Below are 21,797 nucleotides of genomic sequence, written 5' to 3'. Positions count from 1 at the left end.
TCCAGTTAGGGAATTACGTAAATCTATCAAAGAACTGGAACACTTTTATTACTATGTGATTTGAAACACAGCACATGCGGCTTATCTAACAAACTTAGTAGAGCATATTCTTTAGAGTGTAGTGTCATTGAAATGCAAATGGTATTTGCAATGCAGAGGAGAAAGGTTTGACGTTATTGTTTTGCCCTTTGAGATACAGTGTGTTCCTAGCAGGCTGTTCTTTACCTTGTTTGGAAACCAGTTAGCACAGCTTCTGACTACCTAAATGCTCTGTATCATTTATTTTTGGTCTGTACGAGATTTTAATTTTATTACTTCTTTCATTTTTCCTGGTTTTCTTTTTCTGATAAATATTCGCTGGAGTTTTCTTGAAGTCTAATGAAAGAGGATATGTTAGCCTTGCATGTTTTACTAGATACATAACCACATAAAATATTTTGTGCTCATACATTTACTCAAAAATATTCATATAGTACCCAGTCCTTGCCAAGACCTATCCTAATCTATGATTTATGTAATTGGAATAGAATGAATGGCCCCTGACATCATGTGGTGTAAAGTCCACATGGGAGACAGCTATTACTCAAATGTCATGTGACTTTGTGCCAGAAGTACACCAATGTGAGAGACCCGAGTAAGCATAGTGGCATGGAACATTATTGTCTAGCATTTTAATTCTGCCTGAGCTAACAGATGAGAGATACATATCATGGAGCAAATATCATAAATATGTTTCCTTTTGAACGATCAATTTAAAAACTGTGTCTTTTCTCTGTATAGTCCTGAGCCAGAGCACATTGTTTAGTCAGAAGCTTTTGTACAGGACTCAATTATCTGGTGGTCCTGGGCATAGACTCATCTGGAAAAGAAAACAATTACAATAAATGATTCTCTAAGATATGTACATATTGGAAATAACAGTTTGCGTAGCAAAATCTTAAGATTTCAGTGGTAATTAAATATACCACAAATATATTTAAAGACTAGTGTTATTAATAAAAACCACAGTCTACTGCCACCAAGTGGACATTAATTTAGAGACCCCATTACTTTATACTTAGCCACACCGTTGGTCTTGGAATATCTCTATGGTTCCTGTGGAAATCAAAGTGATAGCCATCAAACAACATTCGCATCAAGTAGGCAGCCCTCACAAGCAAAGTTCTCTCTGGACATAAATTGTACTATTTCTGCAGACTCTGTTCCTAATGGAGTGTCTTTCTCTTCTTCATAAATGTTCTCTTTGTTACCCCAAATAGCAAAAATGAAAAACAAAAACAAACAACTTTTCACTTGCACTATAAAATTTAAAATAGAAATAATCTAATGTTCTGCCTGTACCTGACACTCAATGTGTTTTGTAGATTTCATTACCGTATCGCTGCTTCATCTGGTATTTTGCTCCTCCATTATGGTTCAACAGCTTTTCCCTTCTGATTTCCTATACTATTGTCTAAAAATCCTCATTGCTAGGTCCTATTAACCTCTAATTTCCTTTTCCTCTGAATGATTTTCTAAATGAAACAACAAGACATTTTCTACCCGTGTCTCTGAGATATCATTCTCATGACCCCAGAAAGTATGCATTGATAGTATCTAAACAACCTCATTGCTTCTGTTAGATCTCACCATCTCTCAGAATTGCTGCGTGATCAAGCTCTTCAATTCAGAAATTCTTCTTTCTGACCACAGCCTTCTATGATTTGATTTCTTAAGCTCCCATTTTACTTAGTGATGCTCTTTTTACAAAGAACACACTCTTGGGTGACTGGCGAGGTGGGGAGTGACTCATGATTTTTGGGTGGCTAATTTTGTTTAGATGAGTATAGGACTTAAAACTGGGACCTGAAAGATGTCATTAACCAAGTCAGAATACCTGATTTCAAGTGTAGCTTACAGAATTGAGGCTACACAGTCAGAGCTTCTTGGATAGGAATGAAGACCCCCTCTCCATTTGTTTCGCATTTTGACTTTTGTTTCTCTTTCCGTGGGACAGATCTCTTTCTCTCCTACTGCACACAGGCTACCTCCAGTGACTAGGGAAGATTACTATTACTACCAGCATCTCAGTCTAGCAATCCTCAGGGGTAAAAGTATTTCCTCCTATCAATGACCAAATAACAACCCCAGGGGACAAAATGTGATTGGTCCTGCTTGGGTCACATGCTTATGCCTTGGACCAATCATTGTTGCCGGGCAAATGAAGTAATATATTTGGTGAGGCTTGGGTCATATGTTTAGTTTTTGTGGCAAGGGCTCAGAAGGGAGGGAACCGAAGAGTTTACCAAAATGATTAGATAACCCACTTCACCAAGATCACTAATTTCTTTTTGTAAAACAACTTCAGGGGCTGCTTGATCTGTCACTCATGGAATTTCTGCCCTATCCTCTTCCCTTTTCCAGAAGGAATCCTTTGTTTAGCCATAATTTATGCTGTTTTATACTTTATCTCTCTTTCAAATTTTCCTTTAGTTTCTAATCATAGAAAACTCAGCAACGTGACTTCCCAATCCTAAATTATCAAGAAAATATTTGAATTGCCAGCTCTTCTTTTGAAGCAACTTGAGAGCCACCTTTCCCCTATCCCACCCTAGTCAAAGGAGAAAGAATTACTTGATAAAGCACACATTTATTGAGGGTGGCAGAGATTTCAGGTGAAGTAGCCGTCATTGGCTTAATCATTATCTTCAGGATTCTCTCTCATTCTACTCAACTGTGCTTTCTTCCCCAACTTTGATCTGATAGGCATTTCTTTGAGGCTATTGTGATAATTTGCAATTTCATAATCATTTAGGGGCTCTTTAATTGTCTCCCAATGATGAGCTTTTGAGAAATTGAAATTGAAATGGTTTGAATCAACCTAAAATTGCAGAAAACTTTAGTTTTATTAGCCTCCTCTGCGCCATACTTATGCAAAAAAAAAAAGTCTCTACAATACATCTATTAGAGAACAATTAGATGACCAGCAAGTTCACATCAATTTATTAAAATTAAATCACTAGGACATATTAGGAAACAATATTGTCAACCTCCAGTATTCTCCTCTCTGGGTCCTAAATTTATCACCTTTTAGGGCAAATTGGCTGCTCCATTTTGGATTCTGCCCAAGGCTCTCTTGATATGTAGACATTTCATTTGCATACAAAAAGGCACACTGCATGGCTTGATAAACCAACCATCTGGCCTAAGCAATTTATCTGGATTATTACTGAACTGTACAAAACTATGTAAATATATATTCCTAAAATTCCAGTTGCTCTCTTATCCATCTGCCTTACTGCCTTTCCCTTCAGCAACCCTGATTGTAGAAAGGATCATTTGCTCCCTCAACCCCTGACACACAGACACATGGATACATATGCACATATCTTCCTGCTCTATTGACTGTTGCTAGTGAAAGTCGAGTCATAAAGCCAGGCCAGTTGGTCCACTGCCAATGTATGCTGGTCAGACTCAGTCAGACTTCGTAGCTGATTAACATGCCTTATACTAATCTCTAGTTAAATCCCCATCACATTGTCTCATTTTTCTAAATGCTCATTCCAAAATGTTTGCATTCTCTTCCAGTCCTGGATTTCTTATTCTCGAAGGTAATCTATTTTATAAACTCAGTGCTAGGTTTGAATAAATAGTTTAATGCCCCTGTGTGTTATTTTTGACATTATAGATAACTTGATATAGGAACTCATTATATGATGTGAGTTTAGTTTTTTATAATTAAACTGTGATTGTGTGTCTAAAGTTCTTTTTTTTTTTTTTTTTTTGAGATGGAGTCTCGCCCTGTCGCCCAGGCTGGAGTGCAGTGGCACAATCTAGGCTCACTGCAACCTCTGCCTCCTGGGTTCAAGCAATTCTCCTGCCTCAGCCTCCTGAGTAGAGTAGCTGGGATTACAGGCGTGCTCCACTACACCCAGTTAATTTTTGCGTTTTTAGTAGAGATGAGGTTTCACCATGTTAGCCAGGCTAGTCTTGAACTCCTGACCTGAAGTGATCCTCCCACCGTGGCCTCCCAAAGTACTGGGATTACAGGCATGAGACACTGCACCTGGCCTAAAGTTCTTAATTAAAGGATCTCTTTAATTATTATTAAGCAAAACTGGATTTAGGAGATTCCAAGTGATGCCTTTAATTCACTACTCTATGTCCTTATTAATAAATACATATTTAAAAAAACCTATACAATATAGTGTATTTACAGCATGGAAGAGCAGAGACTCTGAAGCCAGACTGCCTGAGTTCAAATCCTGACACTTCTACTCAAATATGTGTGAGTGACTTTGGGCAATTTACTTACTCTTTCTGTGTTTCTATTTACTCGTCTACAACAATAATTTCTACCTCATCAAATTAAATTAAAAAAAAACGCTTAAATAGTTAACATTTGTAAATAGCTTAGAAAACACTACATTTAAAAAATAAACATTCCTAACCCACCTTCCACAAAAAGAAAGCCCACCTGCTTGGTCTTAATCTGTTGATATATAACTTTATTCCACACTTGGACTTAATGTGTTGATATATGACTTTATTCCACACTTATTCTTTCATCACAGGTGCAACTCCTGAAGTTAATACCCACTTTCTCACCACAATTCACTGACCCAACTCTTTTTACAGGCAGGTCTGCGTTTGAGGAGTTGCATCATCAATTTGGTTTATTTCAGTAGATGAATACATTGGAGTTTGGGGTAAAAGTTTTAGCCAATAATAATGCGTAACCATTTGGCTGCTTTTTAATATATCTCACTACAACATTGGCCATGGCCAGTGGCAAGCTGAGGATCCAGGACATCCAGCGTCCAGGCTACGTGCTCTCAGGGACACAACTATCAATACTGCATCTCCATGTCTTCAACTCCCAATTCTATCCACTACACTACCCACAGAAATTTGTATTCTACCCATAGTATTCCACCGAAACTGTTTTTCCAAAGTTATTGATGGATAATCTAATAGTTAAAGCTATCTTTCTTATTTTTACCACATCATTAGAACTTTGTTAGTTCCTTGTTCCTTAGATTTTATAACACTCTCTTAATTGTTGGAGTGTTTTTCTCATCATTTTTTTTTTGTCATCTTTATGGGCTCTTCTTTCTGTGCCCTCTACTTAAACCCTTACTTCACTATATGTTGAAATCCCCCTATTTATTCTGCCTTTAATCTCTATTCTTTTGAAACTGCAAATTTAGGCTCAATTTTCTTATTCACTCCCAAATTACGGCCATAGCCCAGTGGTAATTATGCCTGTATCATTTTTTCCCCAGATTACATCATCACGATACTAAATAGTTTCTCTGCACCTCTAGTCTCATCCCTTTCAAAGCCCTAAAGTAATCTACCTAAACAAATAGTGCTCTCATGGGTCTATATAATCTATAGAATAAATTCTAAATTATATAATAGAGTCCACATGACCCTCCACATTCTAGAATCTTTCTACCCCCGAACTTGCTCTGCAACATTTCTTGCCTTGCACATTGCTCTCCAACATCACCAAACATGTGGTACGGCTCACAAATAACACATATTGTTTTGTTTTGCTTTGTTTTTAAACCTCTTGCATTTGTATGTCATCTTCTCTGCCTGGATAACTTTTCAGTGACTTTATCTGCATCCTTTAATAAGATACAGTTTTCACATGTCAATTCCTCCAGCAGCTTCTGATCAGCCTGTCTCCCAAGCCTGGGCTAAATGCCTTCTTTTATTGCTCCCATGGTATCCATTTTATGTATTTCATGGGATATTAATTGAATCTTACTTAAACTATACTCTTTAATACTTTAGGTGTTCTTTGGTGGCAGAAACAATCTATATATACATATCCCCAGTTCTTCCGAAGCACTTGTCCTTTAAAAGGCACTCCATGATATTCATTGAATGGATGAATAAATGATTAAATGAATGAATAGTTGCATAGGGGCAGCAAAACTCTCAAGAAATTGACCCTTGAAATATACTCAGTGATCTCCTTCATGAAATTCTAAAACCTTATTCAGTCCAAAGACACAACGCTAGTTATGCTGCCCTCGTGTTTCTTTCATACAGAGACAATGAGTCATGCCAAATTACAGCTCTTAAGACCTTACAGCAAATGTGCAATGCCCTGTAGGACATTCATCTTTCATACTGCATTGTATTTTTAAATGATAATTGTTGTCATAAATGTTCTTACTCACATTTCAGCTAGTTAAAAAATTTGCCTGCCTCAATAAAATGAAAGATGCCAGATTGTTTACAGATGAATTAATCATGACATTATCTCTGAAACTTTTAAATTACATCAATTACATTGCATTTAGCATCACAAATAACCTGCATATTAAACAAATGGAATCTTTTCTCCTATTAATAAAGATTAAATCATTAACTACCACTACTTGAATAGCAATGTGACTGCAGTCGTTGGCTCCCAAGACAGAGAAGAAATCTTACTCTGTCACAAAGTATATGCCATCCTTTCAGAGACATCATCGATCTTTGTGGAATTTGGGAACATTCGTTTTCTTTAGGAGTGTTCATCTATGGATTGATTATACCATTTCGACGTGGTAGGCTGCCTAATGTTGAGAGCTCAGGAGTACTATGTAGAATAATTCCACATTCAAAAATCCAGTGCTTAGGCATCTTTGTGAAGCATAAGACAAGCATGTCTTTTCAGTTTCCAATTTAACTTTTTAGATACTTAAAATATTTGAATTTAATTGATCCAGGTCTTTCAAGCAGTGGTTTTCAGATGTCTAAATCAGGTCAGGTAGAGCCTTCAAATATTATGTTCTGTCATAATGTTATCAAGTTATGTCATATGTTATCAAGTTAATTTTTGTTACTCTTGTGAACCCGAATATCTGAGACAGGTCTCAGTTAATTTAGAAAGTTGATTTTGCCAAGGTTGAGGACATGTGCCCATGACACAGCCTTAGGAGGTCCTGACGACATATGCCCAACGTGGTTGGGCATGGCTTGGTTTTATACATTTTAGGCAGACATGAGACATCAATCAATATATATAGGATGTACATTGGTTCCGTCCAGAAAGGTGGGGCTACTCAAAGCACAGGTGAAGGAGAGAGTAACCATTTCGTGCCTTTTAAAAGGGGAGAGAAAACTGAAAATGGCGAGATGCAATACAAGTTAAACTTTGGGTTAAAAAAATTAAAATATCTTATAATTTATTAAGTCAATCAACCATTTAAGAAAATTTCATTGTTCTAACCAATTCTTAGGAAAACAAAACAAAAAAAACATGAAAGCCTTTTAAATAAACACATGCGCCCGCACGCGTGCACACACACACACACACACACACACACACACACACACATCTTGTATGTTGGCTTTTAATTAAGCTGACTTTTAACCATTGAGGTCCTTTAAAAAAAACTTTTTAAATCTCATTACCATATTTCAGCTGGGACAAATTACTGCTATTTCAGAAGTACCAAGTATCAAACCAGAAAGGGCTTGATTTAGGAACCAAACCCAGACTGTTGTGGTGAAAAAAAGAAAGCAGAACCTTAGCTATGGAACTGCAGCATGGGGCGACAGCCGTTGCTCTTTCAGTTTGGCCTGGCTACCAAATAGGTGGCCTTGTTATGTAAATAAAGCCCCTTAAGTAGTCAAAATCAAAAATCTTTCCTTTTTTTTTTTTCCTTTTGCTGGCTGTTTTTCTCCCCCCCACCACCCTACCTTTTCTTTTGTGTGTGTGGGAATTTAGCCACTTCAGAGGACTTGTTCCCCATAATTGGAAGCTTTCCTTCGGATTTGTTCAAGTCGAATATAGAGTTGGTCAAACCCAATGGAAAAAAAAACTGAAACAATAACAAAAACAGAAACAAACCAAAGTTAAGCAAAGCAATTGCACAACTCACACAATTATGGAGTGCTCTAATGGTAAGGAGAAATTAAGACCAGCTGGTTGTTAAACTTAACTTTAGCAAGACAAACCCCAATTCAGTTACTTACCTAGGGATGGGTATCAGGTTGAAGACTGCTCTCTACCATACTAGAAGCAGGAAAAAACTCAAGCTCATTTTCCCTGCTGAACGCTAGCTCAAACTCCTTAAAGGAGTTACCTGCCTTCCAGCATCATGGAAGCAGGAAAAACTTGCCTTCTTTGTCTTGGAAGCAACTAAAACTCCTTAAAAAAGGAGTTGTACAGCAAAATAAACTTTAGATCACAATCACATTTTGGGAGATCATGAATTGTCCTATTGGTTTGAGCCATAAAGATAGCTCAGGCTGGTACCAAACACTGATAGGAGATTTGCCAAAGGTCAGGGGAACCTCCACTCAGAATACCTTCATGGGTACCAAAATGTGAACTTCGAATATCCAAAACAGCTCTCAGTTAATTTAGAATGTCTATTTTGCCAAGGTCGCTGACACGTGCCCATGACACAGCCTCGGGAGGTCCTGAGGACATGTTTCCAAGGTGGTCAGACCATAGCTTGGTTTTATACTTTTTAGGAAGATGTGAGACATCAAGCAAAATATGTAAGACGTACATTGGTTCTCTCCAGAAAGGCAGGACAACTTGAAGCAGGGAGGGGGCTTCCAGGTGAGAGACAAATGGTTGCATTCTTTTGAGTTTCTGTTTAGCTTTTCCAAAGGAGGCAATCAGATATGCATTTATCTCAGTGATCAGAGGGATGACTTTAGAATGGGAGGCAGGAGGCCAGGTGGGGAGGCTCACAACTGTAATCCCAGCACTCTGGGAGGCCGAGGTGGGCAGATCACGAGGTCAGGAGTTCAAGACCATCCTGGCCAACATGGTGAAACCCCGTCTCTACTAAAAATACAAAAAATTAGCTGGGCATGGTGGTTGGCACCTGTAATCCTGGCTATTCGGGAGGTTGAGGCAGGAGAATTGCCTGAACCCAGGAAGCAGAGGTTGCAGTGAGTCGAGATCATGCCACTGCACTCCAGCCTGAGTGACAGAGCAAGACTCCATCTCAAAAAAAGAAAAAAAAGAAAAAGAAAAAAATGGGAGGCAGGTTTGCCCTAAGCACTTCCCAGCTTGATTTCTTCCTTTAGCTTAGTGATTTGGGGAACCAAAAATTTTTCTTTCCACACCCTTAATATATCATAAAATGTTAATAAAATCAAAGGCCCTCCAAAATCAAATTCCTCCTATGATCCCTAAATATAAAATTAAATCAGAAAAAAGACAATTACAACATATAGCTAAAGCTATAAAGGAAAGGTCTGGCACCACACCTTCCCTTAAGTGTAGAATTTCTTTGACAGAACATGAAAGAAGCTTCAATCTTAGGCCCTTGGAAGCTGCTCCTTTGGCTATTCTTTGCAGCCTCCAGTTTCACCTTACACAAATTTAATGGGCTTCTTAGTAGACAAGACAAAGGAGATTTAGAACAATTGGCAACCCCAAACACCATAGAACTATAATTAAGACTCTGGCAAAAGTGAAAACAAACACTAATTCCCAACCACTCAGCGTGTACCATAGGTGTTCAGGTTTTGTATCAATTAAAATATGGCTTGGATGGATTTAGCCTTAATAGTATCCTATTTTCTCCCCATTCACTCAGATGAACTTCTTCTGAAGTCTTTAAGAAAGCAGGCTGTAAGAAATCAAGGAAATAAAATCTAATGAATCTAATGTTGGTGCACAGAAAGCCCCTGCTACAATTAAGTTGACCATAGGTGCCAGCTTGCTCAGTTGATACCTGTTTGCCCAGTATGAACATTGATAACATCGACTTTGGCTCAAAGGTGTGTCATTTCAAATGATGTTCCATGGTCACTTAAGATATAGTCCTTGCTAGTGTAACTGCCTTTGCAAAAATTACAATAATGGCAAAATAATGGCAGTGAAGATCTGATCTGGCTAAACCCCATCTTTCCTTTGGCCTTCAAGCTGCCTTTAATTATTCCTGGGCTTAGGCCAAGATAACTTTGGGAGCCATTTAGTTTATAGTTTAAATGATAATAGCCCTTCCCCAAAACTCAACCACCTTTGTAAAGTTAATGAGACACCACCAGGCTAGGTGGATGGAGAAGCCTGAATTCTGCTAAGTGTAGACATAAACAGTTGCCAGCCATTATATACAAGTGTTCACAAGATATGCAACTTCCCCAATTATTCCTGCAGATAACATCACCATTGTGGAACCTAAAATTAGCCTTTTGAGATATCTTTTCATGTTTTTTTGTATGTTGGACACCAATGGCTCCGCCCGGACCCACCAACTCCTCCTGTGGCCCCACAGAGACGTGACTCAGCATGCAAGAGGACCATTTCCCACATGGTTATGCCTCCAACAAATCAGCAGCAAGCACACATTGCCTAACCGCCCAAACCCCTCCCCACAAACCACCTTGGAAAAATCCCGGCCCTCAAATTCTCTGGGAGACTAATCTGACTGACAATAAAACTCTGGTCTCCTGTTCAGCTGCCTTTGTGCAAATTAAAGAGTTTATTGCAATTCCCCTGCCTTGATAAATTGACTGTATCTGGAGAGCAGACAAGAAGAACCCACTGGGCAGTTACACTACAGCAGCAACACCACCCACTAGAATACCCATGGTAACAGGCATGATGCTGACGTAACAGCTAAAACGAAGGTCTCCTCAAGGTTACCCTTTAGCAACGTTAGCTATAGCAACAAGAGCAATAGTAGAGCATTAAAGTATAGAGTTGAGATCAACACTAGTGGCTCCTGAAGGCAATCTTTCCAGTGCCCTGATTTAGGAAAGCCTGGATCATGCCACAGGAGGAGGAATAAGGGTGAGAGATGTTGCCAGCTCACTTGTGCACTGGTGAGGGCTGAAGACTAGAGACTAATTTAAACAGCATGTAGGTCACGGCTGGTATCCGAGAGGGAGAGAGTCTTTCCAGGGTTTATCCTTATGAATCTTTTAGATTTTGAGCATGTGAATCTAGATGTATTCAGGAATGAGAATGACATTCAAATGATATTAAAAAGAGCATGCAGAAAACCTAGATGGAAAGAAGAAAAAATAGTTAAATATTTTATAGTATATTTCATTCCAAATATTATACAAAGTAAAATTATTTTGTAAACATTGTGACATCAAGTTCTAGTTCAAGAAGGCTGACTAGAGACCAGACACCAGTTGTCATAAGAGGAACCAAGATTACTTACTTGTAATCATAACTCAAATAGAATATCAAGGGGAAAGTGTTGGAACCTAGTGGAGAACTCACAGGAAGAAGCTGGGGCACAGAAAAAGAGAAAAGCAAGAGGCTGGCAGAAATCAGCTGGGAACCCCAAGAGACTGGTATTTCATCAGAAAGATAGGTGGGAGTGTTTTGGCTCCCCTAATCCCTGTGGCTGACTTCTGATATCTTAACTGTCAGACAGCTCCTCTACCTTTGTGAGCCCAAACACTGGTATAGGCTGGTATAGACAGCAAATTGGTGACTTTTTGAGGGTATTATCAGACTACCAACTCCCTGCAGGTTATTCACCCTCTCTCTAACTTGAGGAGTGGTGACCAGGCACCATACTTGTGGTGAAGCTATCAGATAACTGTGTCTTACCCAGGGAATCTCAGCCCTTGTGTCTCCATATCATGGGAACCCCTGCAGACATTCCCTAGTGCCTGCTCAGATTATGTCAGCAGCAAAGGACTGGCTGGACCTAAGGAAGCTGCAGAATTTCCAGGGGTCTATCCCCTGGGGAGGGAGTCTGTCCCTGGGGAGGGAGTGCTGCTCCTAAAAAAAGGGAGAGTGCAGTTCATGAAGGGAGCACCTCTTGGGACAAAGAAAACCAGATCATGTATTTTTCAGTGCCCAGGTGTTCCCCGTTTGTGAGCTGTAAATGATGGTCCTGCTTCCAGCAGAGATACAGGTGCTGTGGTTGGCTCTGCAAGGGAGGACTGTAGTTCCATTCCAATGGCCAAGCAGCCTCTGTGCTCAGGCCCAGGCATAGAGAGGCGTACTTCTACTCTCCCTCTGCTCACTGCTACAAACACAGCTGTGGCCACTCCCATAGGAAGTTGGCATAAGCATGCTGGAGGACAGCCTTTCTGAGGTGACTAGGGGTAGCTGCATCCCCACTGGCAGTGTTCACACTAGGCCCAGAGTTATGTGAAAGGTGGGGCCCTGTCGCCTCTCTACACAAAGCACCAGTATTCCTGTAGTGGAGAGCTAGAGGGTTTTGTGTCTGGAGCTGAGGGGGGAGGTTCTGTACCACAGCCATTTTGACAATGAGCTTACAAGGCAGGTGTCTTTTATGGCCCTTGGCAGCATTGCAGCCCGGATATAGACAGGAGTGTCTGACAGAACTGTGTGTCCTGAGTACCAGGATAAGGGTGTGACAGAGAAATGGGTCATGTTCCTGCCTACCCAGGAAATAGAGCTGGGGCAACCCCACCCCCATACCCTGAGGATATCCCAACACATTTCACCATGAGCTTCCCAAGCACCTCTGTCAGGGCTGGTGCTTGTGCTTGCCAGTGGAGGATCCAAGGGTGAGCTTGTGCAGTCCAGCTCCAACTAGCCTCATACCCTTCTGTGGAGCTGAGTGGGAGCCCAGGCCACTGAGCATTCTGCAGACCAACCCATTGCCTGAGCCAACAAAGAGCTTCTCCGTGTAAACAAAGAACAAGCATCAATCCTTCCACTACCACCACATTTGGTTCTTACATGAAAGAACCACCTACTGGCTTGGAGGTTAAACTATACAACCCAATACTAAATCTGCTGCCACAAGTGTACAATGCATGGGAACAAGATAAGAAGCTTCTGGAGACCTCCACCATTCTGACCCTGCAGGAGGCCATGAGCCTGCTCACATGCCCCAGTACATTGCTACTACAACCAGCATTTGAGAAAGTAACCACATTAAGGATATCTACAACCAAGGCTCTACATACGGAGTCTTTACCACAGAAAGCACTCAGAACCAAAGCCAAGTGACCTTATGGAACATACATTATAGTCACATCCTCAAGGGAAGAAAAAAGTTCCATCCAAATAAAAAACTCAAAAATAAGAAGGGGAAATAATTTCTCCCTATGAGAAGGAACCAGTGAAACAATTCTGGAAGTATGAAAAAACAGAGTGTTGTGACACCCCTGAAGGATCACACTAACTCTTTAGCAAAAAATCCTAATGAAAATCAAATCTTTGAAATATCAGATAAATAATTCAAACTATTGATTTTAAAGAAGCTCAATGAGATCCAAGAGTAATAAAAAAAATACAAAGATATCAGAAAATCAAATCAGGAAAATGATCAAAAACTTGCCAAAGCAATAGATATTTTTTAAAAAGACAACTTCTAGAAATAAAAAGTTCATTGAGGGAATTAAAAAATACAGTAAAAAGCTTTAACAATTCACTAGGCCAAACAGAAGTAAGAATCTCAGAGCCACCATGGAATACGACTCAGCCATAAAAAATGTGAAATGATGCTACAATTATGTCTTTTGCAGGAACATGGATGGAACTAGAGGCCATTATCTTAAGCAAAATAACTGAGAAACAGAAAATCAAATACCAAGTTCTCACTTATAAGTGGGAGCTAAATAGCATACACATGGACAGAGAGAGTGGAATAGGCATTGAATACTTGGGAAGGTGGGAGGGTTAGAGGAGGGTAAGAAATGAGAAATTACCTAATGGGTACAATGTACACTATCAGGGTGATGGTTACATTAAAAGCACAGACTTCACCACGATGCAAAATATCCATGTCACAAAACTACGCTTGTGCTCTCTAAATCAATTTTTTAAAAATATTGTAAAATTATATAGAAAAGTAGTTATAATGTTAAGTGAATAAAATATTTTACATATGCATATGAATAATATCATTATGGCTATATTAAAAGGTATTCATGGAAAAACTGGAAGAACATTAACGAAAATGTAACTAATGATTATCTTTTAGTAGTAAAAGTATGGGTGGAATTTCCCTAAATTTTACTTTTTTGCATTTTCTTAATTTTCTTGAATAATCTATACAGTTTCCATAATGTAAGCTTCCAAAATGAATCTTCTACTTTGGTTGTTGTGCATCTATTGAACAAAACTCAAAGAAACAATAAGCAGATTTCTGTCCAGGTTCTGTCTTCTTAAAGCTCTAAAAGGATTTTTTTTTTAAATAAAGGACATTTCTCTATTCCATTAATTTTTTTCCACTATCTTCCTTCACAGAAAAAAACTCTCCAATGAATCGTCTACACCTACACCATGTCTGTATTTTATCATCTGCTTCCAGCTTCCTGACCTGCTTAAATCTGACTTCTCACTTCTTCTGCCCTTGTATGGTCACGAGTTACTTCAGTGTCACTAAATCCAATGAACACTTTTTCAGTACTATCACTTGATCTCTCCTCCTTGAAACACGGATTTCATTAAGTTTCCATGACACCACACTTATGATTTTTCTCATACTTTGGTGTTTGGCACTTTTTAGTCTTATGTGTCAGCTTAATCTTTTTTGTCCAAACTTCAAATGGGCAAAAATTAAATGGTCAGTCATAGACTCTTCTCTCACTCTATAGTGTTGCAGAGATTACAGTATCTATCTCCATCACTTTAATTATCATAATTAGGTTGGAAATTCACATATTTGTATTCCTGACATAGTTCTCTAGCCTCATTTGCAAATACCCAACTGTCTACTCAACATGTACACTAAGATGCTATCTATGTACTGCACCACAATCTGCAAACTGAAATAATGTCATTGGCCCCCTTCTAATAAGCTCCCTCCCTGATGTCCTTTATATTGCCGAATGATGTAGTCATCCACCCAGTTGCTTAATAAAAAAATCAGCAGGTTATATTTGTTGTCTCCACCTCCTCTTCAAATTTATTCTAGCACCAAGTCCTGTTGATGCTATGTCACAAATAAATCTTCAATTTGGCCACCTGTCTGCATCTGCCTTGTTGAAACCAAACATAGTTTTTATGCTCACAACCAAAACCATCTCCTAATCCTCATGATGTGTCACAACATCAGTTTCATGGATCAGCATTTCAAAATTAAAATAAAGTAGAATGGAATACTATAGAAGAGAAGAATGGCAAAGAGGAGAGAATATTGTATAAATTGTTAAGCATTTTTATAAAAATTTTGTTTTAGCTGCAAGTGTGCTATGTGCTACATGTGGTTTGTTGTAAAAACTATTGTTATTTTTGTGGGTAGCATTAACAACAGACCAGAAAAACACTGTCCTAACTACTATGCTTCTGCTTTGCACTTTCTAATCTGTTCTCTAAATTTCCAAAAATGCTACAAGAATAATCTTTAACAATTGCAGATTTGATTATGCCATTCCCCCATATAAACAGTCCTTGTGCTTTCCTAGTGCCTTTTGAATAAAATTGAATTTAAATGTCAATTTAAATTCTGCACTATCAGGCATCTTCCTCTCTCTGAAACTTGCAGGACACTGTTCCTCACTTTCAATAATCGAGGAACATTGATCATCTTTGTGTTCAAAAACATTCTGCATTCTCTGGCCTCTGGTCTTATGTTCTGTACTCTCCTTGAGATCTGTACCCATTTATCCTTCAACTCTCAAGATCTTCCAGTTATGCAGATCTCAGCTTCCACATCACTTTCTCCTGAAAGTTTTACCGAATTTATCCAGATTCTTTTTCCTGTTTTGTGTTCTAGTAGCCTGTTGCTCTTAATGTTGTTAAACTTAATATGTAATCAGCCTGCACCCTGTACACAGCAGCTGACTTCCTTGAGGACTATGAGTTTTCCCTGGAGAGTGGTTACTGTCTTGTTTGCTAGACCAAGTGCTCAGCATAGTCTCTGCCTTGTAGTGAGCACTCAGTAAGTGTACACTGAATAAATAAATGAACTTCATGAAAAATATGGAAGCCACCAAAAGAAACTCTTTGTATTTCCCATCATAAAATCTACAAAAAATACACTTATCCACACCCATTTTTTTTTTCCTCTCTGAGTATGTGTATTTGTGTATCCCTTTTCTCATCGAAGGTAATCATGCAATGTAGTGAATCCCATCACTATCTACCTCTGAGATAACTCACTCTATTGATTATACCCTTTATCTCATTTGTATTCATTCTTTCCATTACTCCTGGATCTTTCTGGTTAGATTTTATACATGTTTATAATACTTACATCTTAAAACAAATAAATGAACAAGACTCTCGAAACTCTAAATCTCCCTTCAACTACCAATCAATACTAATTTTAAGAGTTCTGCTGAAAGGAGAGACTTGCACAATTACAGAAAGCTTATTTGGGAGGTGATTTCAGAAAGCTGCAATGAATGAACAGAAAAGGAAAAAAGGTCAACATAGGAGCACTGTATCCTGGTCATCACGATGCGACCTTCTAAGAGAAAAGAGAATACCTTTCAGAACTGTGTGCCTGAAGGATGGTATGCAAGAGCATTTGTCCACTAGCTCCTCTAACCCAGAGATTAAGAGTCCCTTAATCTCTGGGTTAACACCACTGAACTGCAGAGCCATGCCCATTCACTCAGCAGCAGAGTAGGCTCTCAGACAAAAGCAGAACAACTCGCAGCATGCCATTTGGGACTCTCCAATGTGTTTCAATCTGAACTCATGACGTATCACTCTACTGGCATTGCTCTCAACACTGGCAACTTGTAGGAGACAAACAGAATGATATCAATGCACCAGCACCAAACATCACAGTTCAATCAGTGGCAGCACATGGTGCAGAAAAGCAGTAGTTTAGGAGATGATATGGTGGTCCAGTCTTGATTTTCTCTGACCTTCAGCAGTATTTGCAGTATTTGGCTCAGTTGCCTACGTACTTCTTCTCAAAACACCGTCTTCCTTTTTTTTTTTTATTTCCATGACATGATTTTCCTTGTTTTCCTGAAATTCCCTTGTGGCTTTCTCAGTCTCCTATGCAGATTTCTGTTACTTTAAACATTGAGGTTTCCTAGGATTAGGACCTAGACTCTGCTCTTCACATTTCATTCTTTCATTTTTAGTGCTGCCTAATTGTTCTATAGCTCTATTATCTTTTTTACAATTACTTGTTTAATGTTTGCCTATTTCACAAGATTGTTATTTCCAAAGCACCATATTTTTCTCAACCCCATCGTAAAGCACAAAGGAGAAATACATTACATCTACTTAATCAGGAGTCCATGGTTTTCGGCCCTACTACCCTCTGGACCTGCCCAATTGCTCTCCCATTCGCAGTTGCCTGTCCTTGTAGAAACTAACCACAGGGAAAATAGGGCAAGCCTATGATTATTCGGCAATATATATTACTATTCTCAGCAGAGTGCCAAAAGCCATTTAAAGCCCAGCTTCAGAATCATTTTCAAACACTATTTGGCTCTTCACAGTGATATTTACTCATAAAATAACCCCATCTTCAATCATCTGCAAGTAGTGAAGTGTGATTAAAGCATCATTAGCTGGATTTTTGGTTATGGAAAAGATGGAACAACTCCACTTTTTAAAAAAGTGCAAACAATATAATAAAAGTATTAGATGATTTCTGAGGGAAAAAGAAAAGTTTTTTTCCTGTTCAGTTTTTATACATTATAAACAGGTAAGGAAAGCCCATCTAGGACTTGGAAATGCTGACGAAGCAAAAATTGCTGGTCAATTAGGAGACAAAGAGTTCCTTCAAAAGAAAAACACCTCTTGTGACCCTTCTTTTGTTGTGATAAAAGGTTTGCGGTGGTTATAGGGGAAGTGATGCTTACTAGGTAAAAAATTAATTATATTCAAATGTGCATGTGTCATGGGTGAGTGGACTGAAGATTTTCCTGAACCAATGTAATATTTTGATGAGCATACAGGAAGACATATGTACGTATACATTTTGAATATTTACTGAGGCAGTTTATTATCTCTAACTAACTTAGAATATTACATTTCATTATCTAGGTAAAGCAATGAACTCAAAGCCACCAATAGATTATTGGTGTATATAAATGCAGAGTCTAAAAATAGCTAAGCCATCATAAATATTGTTGTCATGATTTATTAATTTAAAGTACTAATGAGTCATTAAAACTCTTCTAACTAGCCTCTGTCATCAATCAACAAATATTCACTGAACAGTTATTAGGTATCTTCATGCTCCCACTTTGCTATAGAATAGCACAGGAAGGAAAAGACAACAAGAACCAATTAATTCTAGATAGGAGACTAATCTAAAATTTTGAATTATTTGCCTTGGGTATGGACATTGATCTTAGGAAGGAAAATTTAAAAGACCAAATTGCTTTACAATTTACTGCAGATATTCACAAACAAACAAAGCTGCTAATTAATGCAGTAGCCATGCAACAAATAAAAGGGATTGGGCATGGTGTGAAAAACAGAATAAACAAGTATTCTGTGCTTCTGAAGAAAAATCTGTTTCTAGAGGAATCTACCATTGTTTTGGTGCTACCTTTGCTCTGACAAAAATGATGAGACTTTTCTCTGCTAATTTACACTTCTTTTTCATTCTTTTCTTTCTTTTTTTTTCTTTTTTTGTGTGTGAGACAAGTTCTCTCTCTGTCACCCAGGCTGGCATGCAGTGGCATGATCATGGCTCGCCATAGCCTCAACTTCCTGGGTTCAAGCCACCCTCCCATCTCAGCCTCCCAAGTAGCTGGAGCTACAAGTATGTGCTACCACACCCAACTATTTGTTTTTACTTTTCATAGAGACAGGGTCTCGCTATGTTGCCCAGGCTGGTCTCAAACTTCTAGTCTCAAGTGATCCCCCTGCCTCAACCTCCCAAAGTGCTAGAATTGCAGATAGAAGCCATTGTGCCCAGCCAAGTTTCATTTTTTAACTAGGCTAATTCAAACTGACTTTTGTTTTCAGTGACATGAGGATAAGCATTTTAATATATGGTGATCGCAAGCATGTGATTAAAGTGTCAGTGTCCCACTACAAAATTTTTATACTCCATTTTTCCCAAAAAATACCTTTTCATCAAAACATTTATTTCCTTTATAGATAGACTATTTCCTTATATTCAAAAGTAAAGGATATTATGATTTGACAGAATATTTGGTGAAAACAATAGTTAATTAACTTCTACCCTATCCATGTAAAAGTGTTATAATAAATATAAATATCCTCTGAAAAAGCACACATTTTATAATTTAAAAATGTTTTATAAATAAATAGTTCATCTCTGTGTTAGTTCATTTTCATACTGCTATAAAAAACTGTCTGAGATTGGGTGATATATAAAGGATAGAGGTTAAATTGATTCACAGTTCAGCATGGCTGGAGAGGCCACAGGAGACTTACAATCATAGCGGAAGGCAAAGGGGAAGCAAGACATCTTCTTCCCAAGGCGGCAGGAAGAAGTGCTTAGTGAAGGGAAAGAGGCCCTTATAAAACCTTCAGATCTCATGAGAATTCACTCACTATCAAGAGGACAGGATGGGGAAAACTGCCCCCATGGTTAAATTACCTCCACCTTGTCTCTCCCTTGACACGTGGGGATTATGGGGGTTACAATTCAAGATGAGATTTCAGGTGGAGACACATCCAAGCTATATCAATCTCCTTAATAATTGCTACATAGATTATAAAACATCCCAATCCCCAAACTGTATTTCAATCAACACAATTACCAAATTACCAATAAAATCGAAAAGTAAAATTTCCTATATGAATCTTTATGTACCAGTGCCAGAAGTTTTAGCATTCTTCTTTTGATTGTGAATAAGTGGAATTGGTGGAATTGTAATTAGGGTTGCATGGTAAGACAATGCTCATGGTAAGACAACTAACATGGGAAAAAACATAAGGCATGAGGTTTTTCTCAGTCTCTTGATAGATCATTTGCCTTTCAGTGCCCCAAGTGAGAAAGGAAAAGCTATAATGGTGTATCATGTTGTGATGTGATGGTCTTTGGATGTGTAAATATAGCTAAGCTATAGACTGCAGTAATCAATCAAATACATACAAATCCAGCTGTTGCAGTAAGGTTTTTTTTTTTTGTAGCTGTGATTAAAGTTCGTAATCAACTGACTTTAACTAAGGGAGACCATTCTTGATAATGTGAATGGGCCTTACTCAATCAGGTGCAAGGCCTTAAAAGCACCGCTAAGGTTTTCCCAAAGAAGAAGAAATGTGAGCAGGACTTTCCCCACCCATACCACCATGGCCAAGTGTTCTAGCCTGCCCTATGAATTTCAAACTTGCATCTCCAACTCCCACAAATGTTTAAGCCAATTCTTTGCAAAAATATTTTAATGCATATCTCCGACTGATTCTGCTTCTCTGGTTGAACCCCTGACAACTCCCCATCATCTTGGTTGTAGAGGAGGAGGCCAGACACTTCAATGTAAAGAAGCCACAGTCAGGTGGTTTCTATGGGCCTTGACATAATTAATAAGCCATGTTCTACCTCCTCAAATGGTGCTTCAAGCTTAGCTTTAATCTTTGAAACTATTCAAAGAGAAAGAACACTAGAAAAAAGCTGAAAAAATAGCCTAGGTAATGTATAATAATTTTTTAATGTTATCTTGAGTAGAAAACTACAGAACTTTTTTGAAAAATCTTTCTGACTGATGTCTCTATAGAGTTCTGTACATTTTACTCACCCATTGATAAAAAATAACCTATTGGGCACTGGGAAGGAGAAAGATAATTCTCCTGAACCTAGGTCAATAAATTCCTAAACCCCTTTTCATTTTATAAAGCATAGGTGAACTCCCATATTAAAAGGGATTATTTGTGTTCAATAATCAAATTCTTTTAAATAAACTATTTTTCTATTACCGTCTTAATTTACACTTAAATTGATTTTTTACATGCACATATATATCTATATGAATATACATATGGTACAAGGGACATGGCTGTGCTTTGGTCAAGGATAGGCTGAGGTAGGATATTTACATCAGCGACTTTAGAGCATAGGCATATAACTCCACTTGTTATTACAGCCATGTAGCCATAACATGGGAAGGCCATCACTTGGCTCTACACCAGTATTATCTGTAAAATGTATAATTGCCCTGTTAACACTGTGTAGGTGCGTTGGTTCCCACAGAAAGAGAGTCAGAGGTGTCTGTCTTTGCAGACAGACAGAAGGGAGCCAGGACACAGCTTGGCTCACTCATGCCCAGAGAGAGAAAGAGCTAAGCTGCTGACCCTGAAGGCAAGGGAGAGCTGGACACGCAGCTGTGTATGGGGGCCGCCGGACTAAACAGTCAAGACAGGGTGAACAATGTGAGGAAAAGCTGTTATGAGAGCTGCTGCTGAATAAAATCATCTTTCACTGCCTACGGCCCCTAGAGTGTTCTTTCTGCTCATTCACCCACTCCCTTCAGACCTCAGGATGGGCTGGAACCCAACCTCAAGCATAACAATTGGCATAGTCGTGAACCTGACATATGTTTATGCAATTTGGCAAATATATGGATTTGAGAAATCATGCTAGGGTTAAGGATTGTGTGCTCCATCATGATTATGTGTTGCATCATAAAACCCATGACCAAAAAATAGATAATAAACTGATTTATACGTATGAAAATATTTGAAGTCTCATTGCACCTGTCTTATAATATCCCTTTCTCAGGACTAATGATATGAAAATTCAGGATTAAAGATCAAAACCCATAAATCATAAAGAAAATGACACCTGTTTTTCTTCTTATAAATCATTTTCCAGTATAACAGTGCACTGGATCAATCCATCATGACTGAAGCTAAATACAACATTAGTTTCCAAAGATATGCACAGTTTTAGTACTCCACAAAAGCTCATTAATTTTCTTCACAGGTATTTGAGAATACAACCATCAATGGTGTAATGAGTGAAAGGAATTTACTAGAACATCTTGATTTTTATTTTAATGAGGAGAAA

At 38.5% G+C, this 21,797-nt stretch overlaps 1 long non-coding RNA gene across 1 annotated transcript in view; it reads right to left on the bottom strand.

Annotated features, from left to right (window-relative positions):
* Positions 1-656: 656 nt before the first annotated feature.
* Positions 657-21,797, bottom strand: part of LINC01037 (long intergenic non-protein coding RNA 1037) — a 33,595-nt gene continuing 12,454 nt past the window's right edge. Inside the window, exons 2-3 of the long non-coding RNA NR_132374.1 lie at positions 7,687-7,808; positions 657-859 (exon numbers count right to left, since the gene is read on the bottom strand). This is a non-coding gene — a long non-coding RNA (long intergenic non-protein coding RNA 1037). The remainder of the gene's footprint in view (positions 860-7,686; positions 7,809-21,797) is intronic.

The sequence above is a fragment of the Homo sapiens genome, chromosome 1, assembly GCF_000001405.40.
Source record: "Homo sapiens chromosome 1, GRCh38.p14 Primary Assembly".
NCBI lineage: Eukaryota > Metazoa > Chordata > Mammalia > Primates > Hominidae > Homo > Homo sapiens.
Note: the sequence above shows the minus strand (reverse complement) of the source record. Positions and strands in the feature narration are given on the sequence as shown.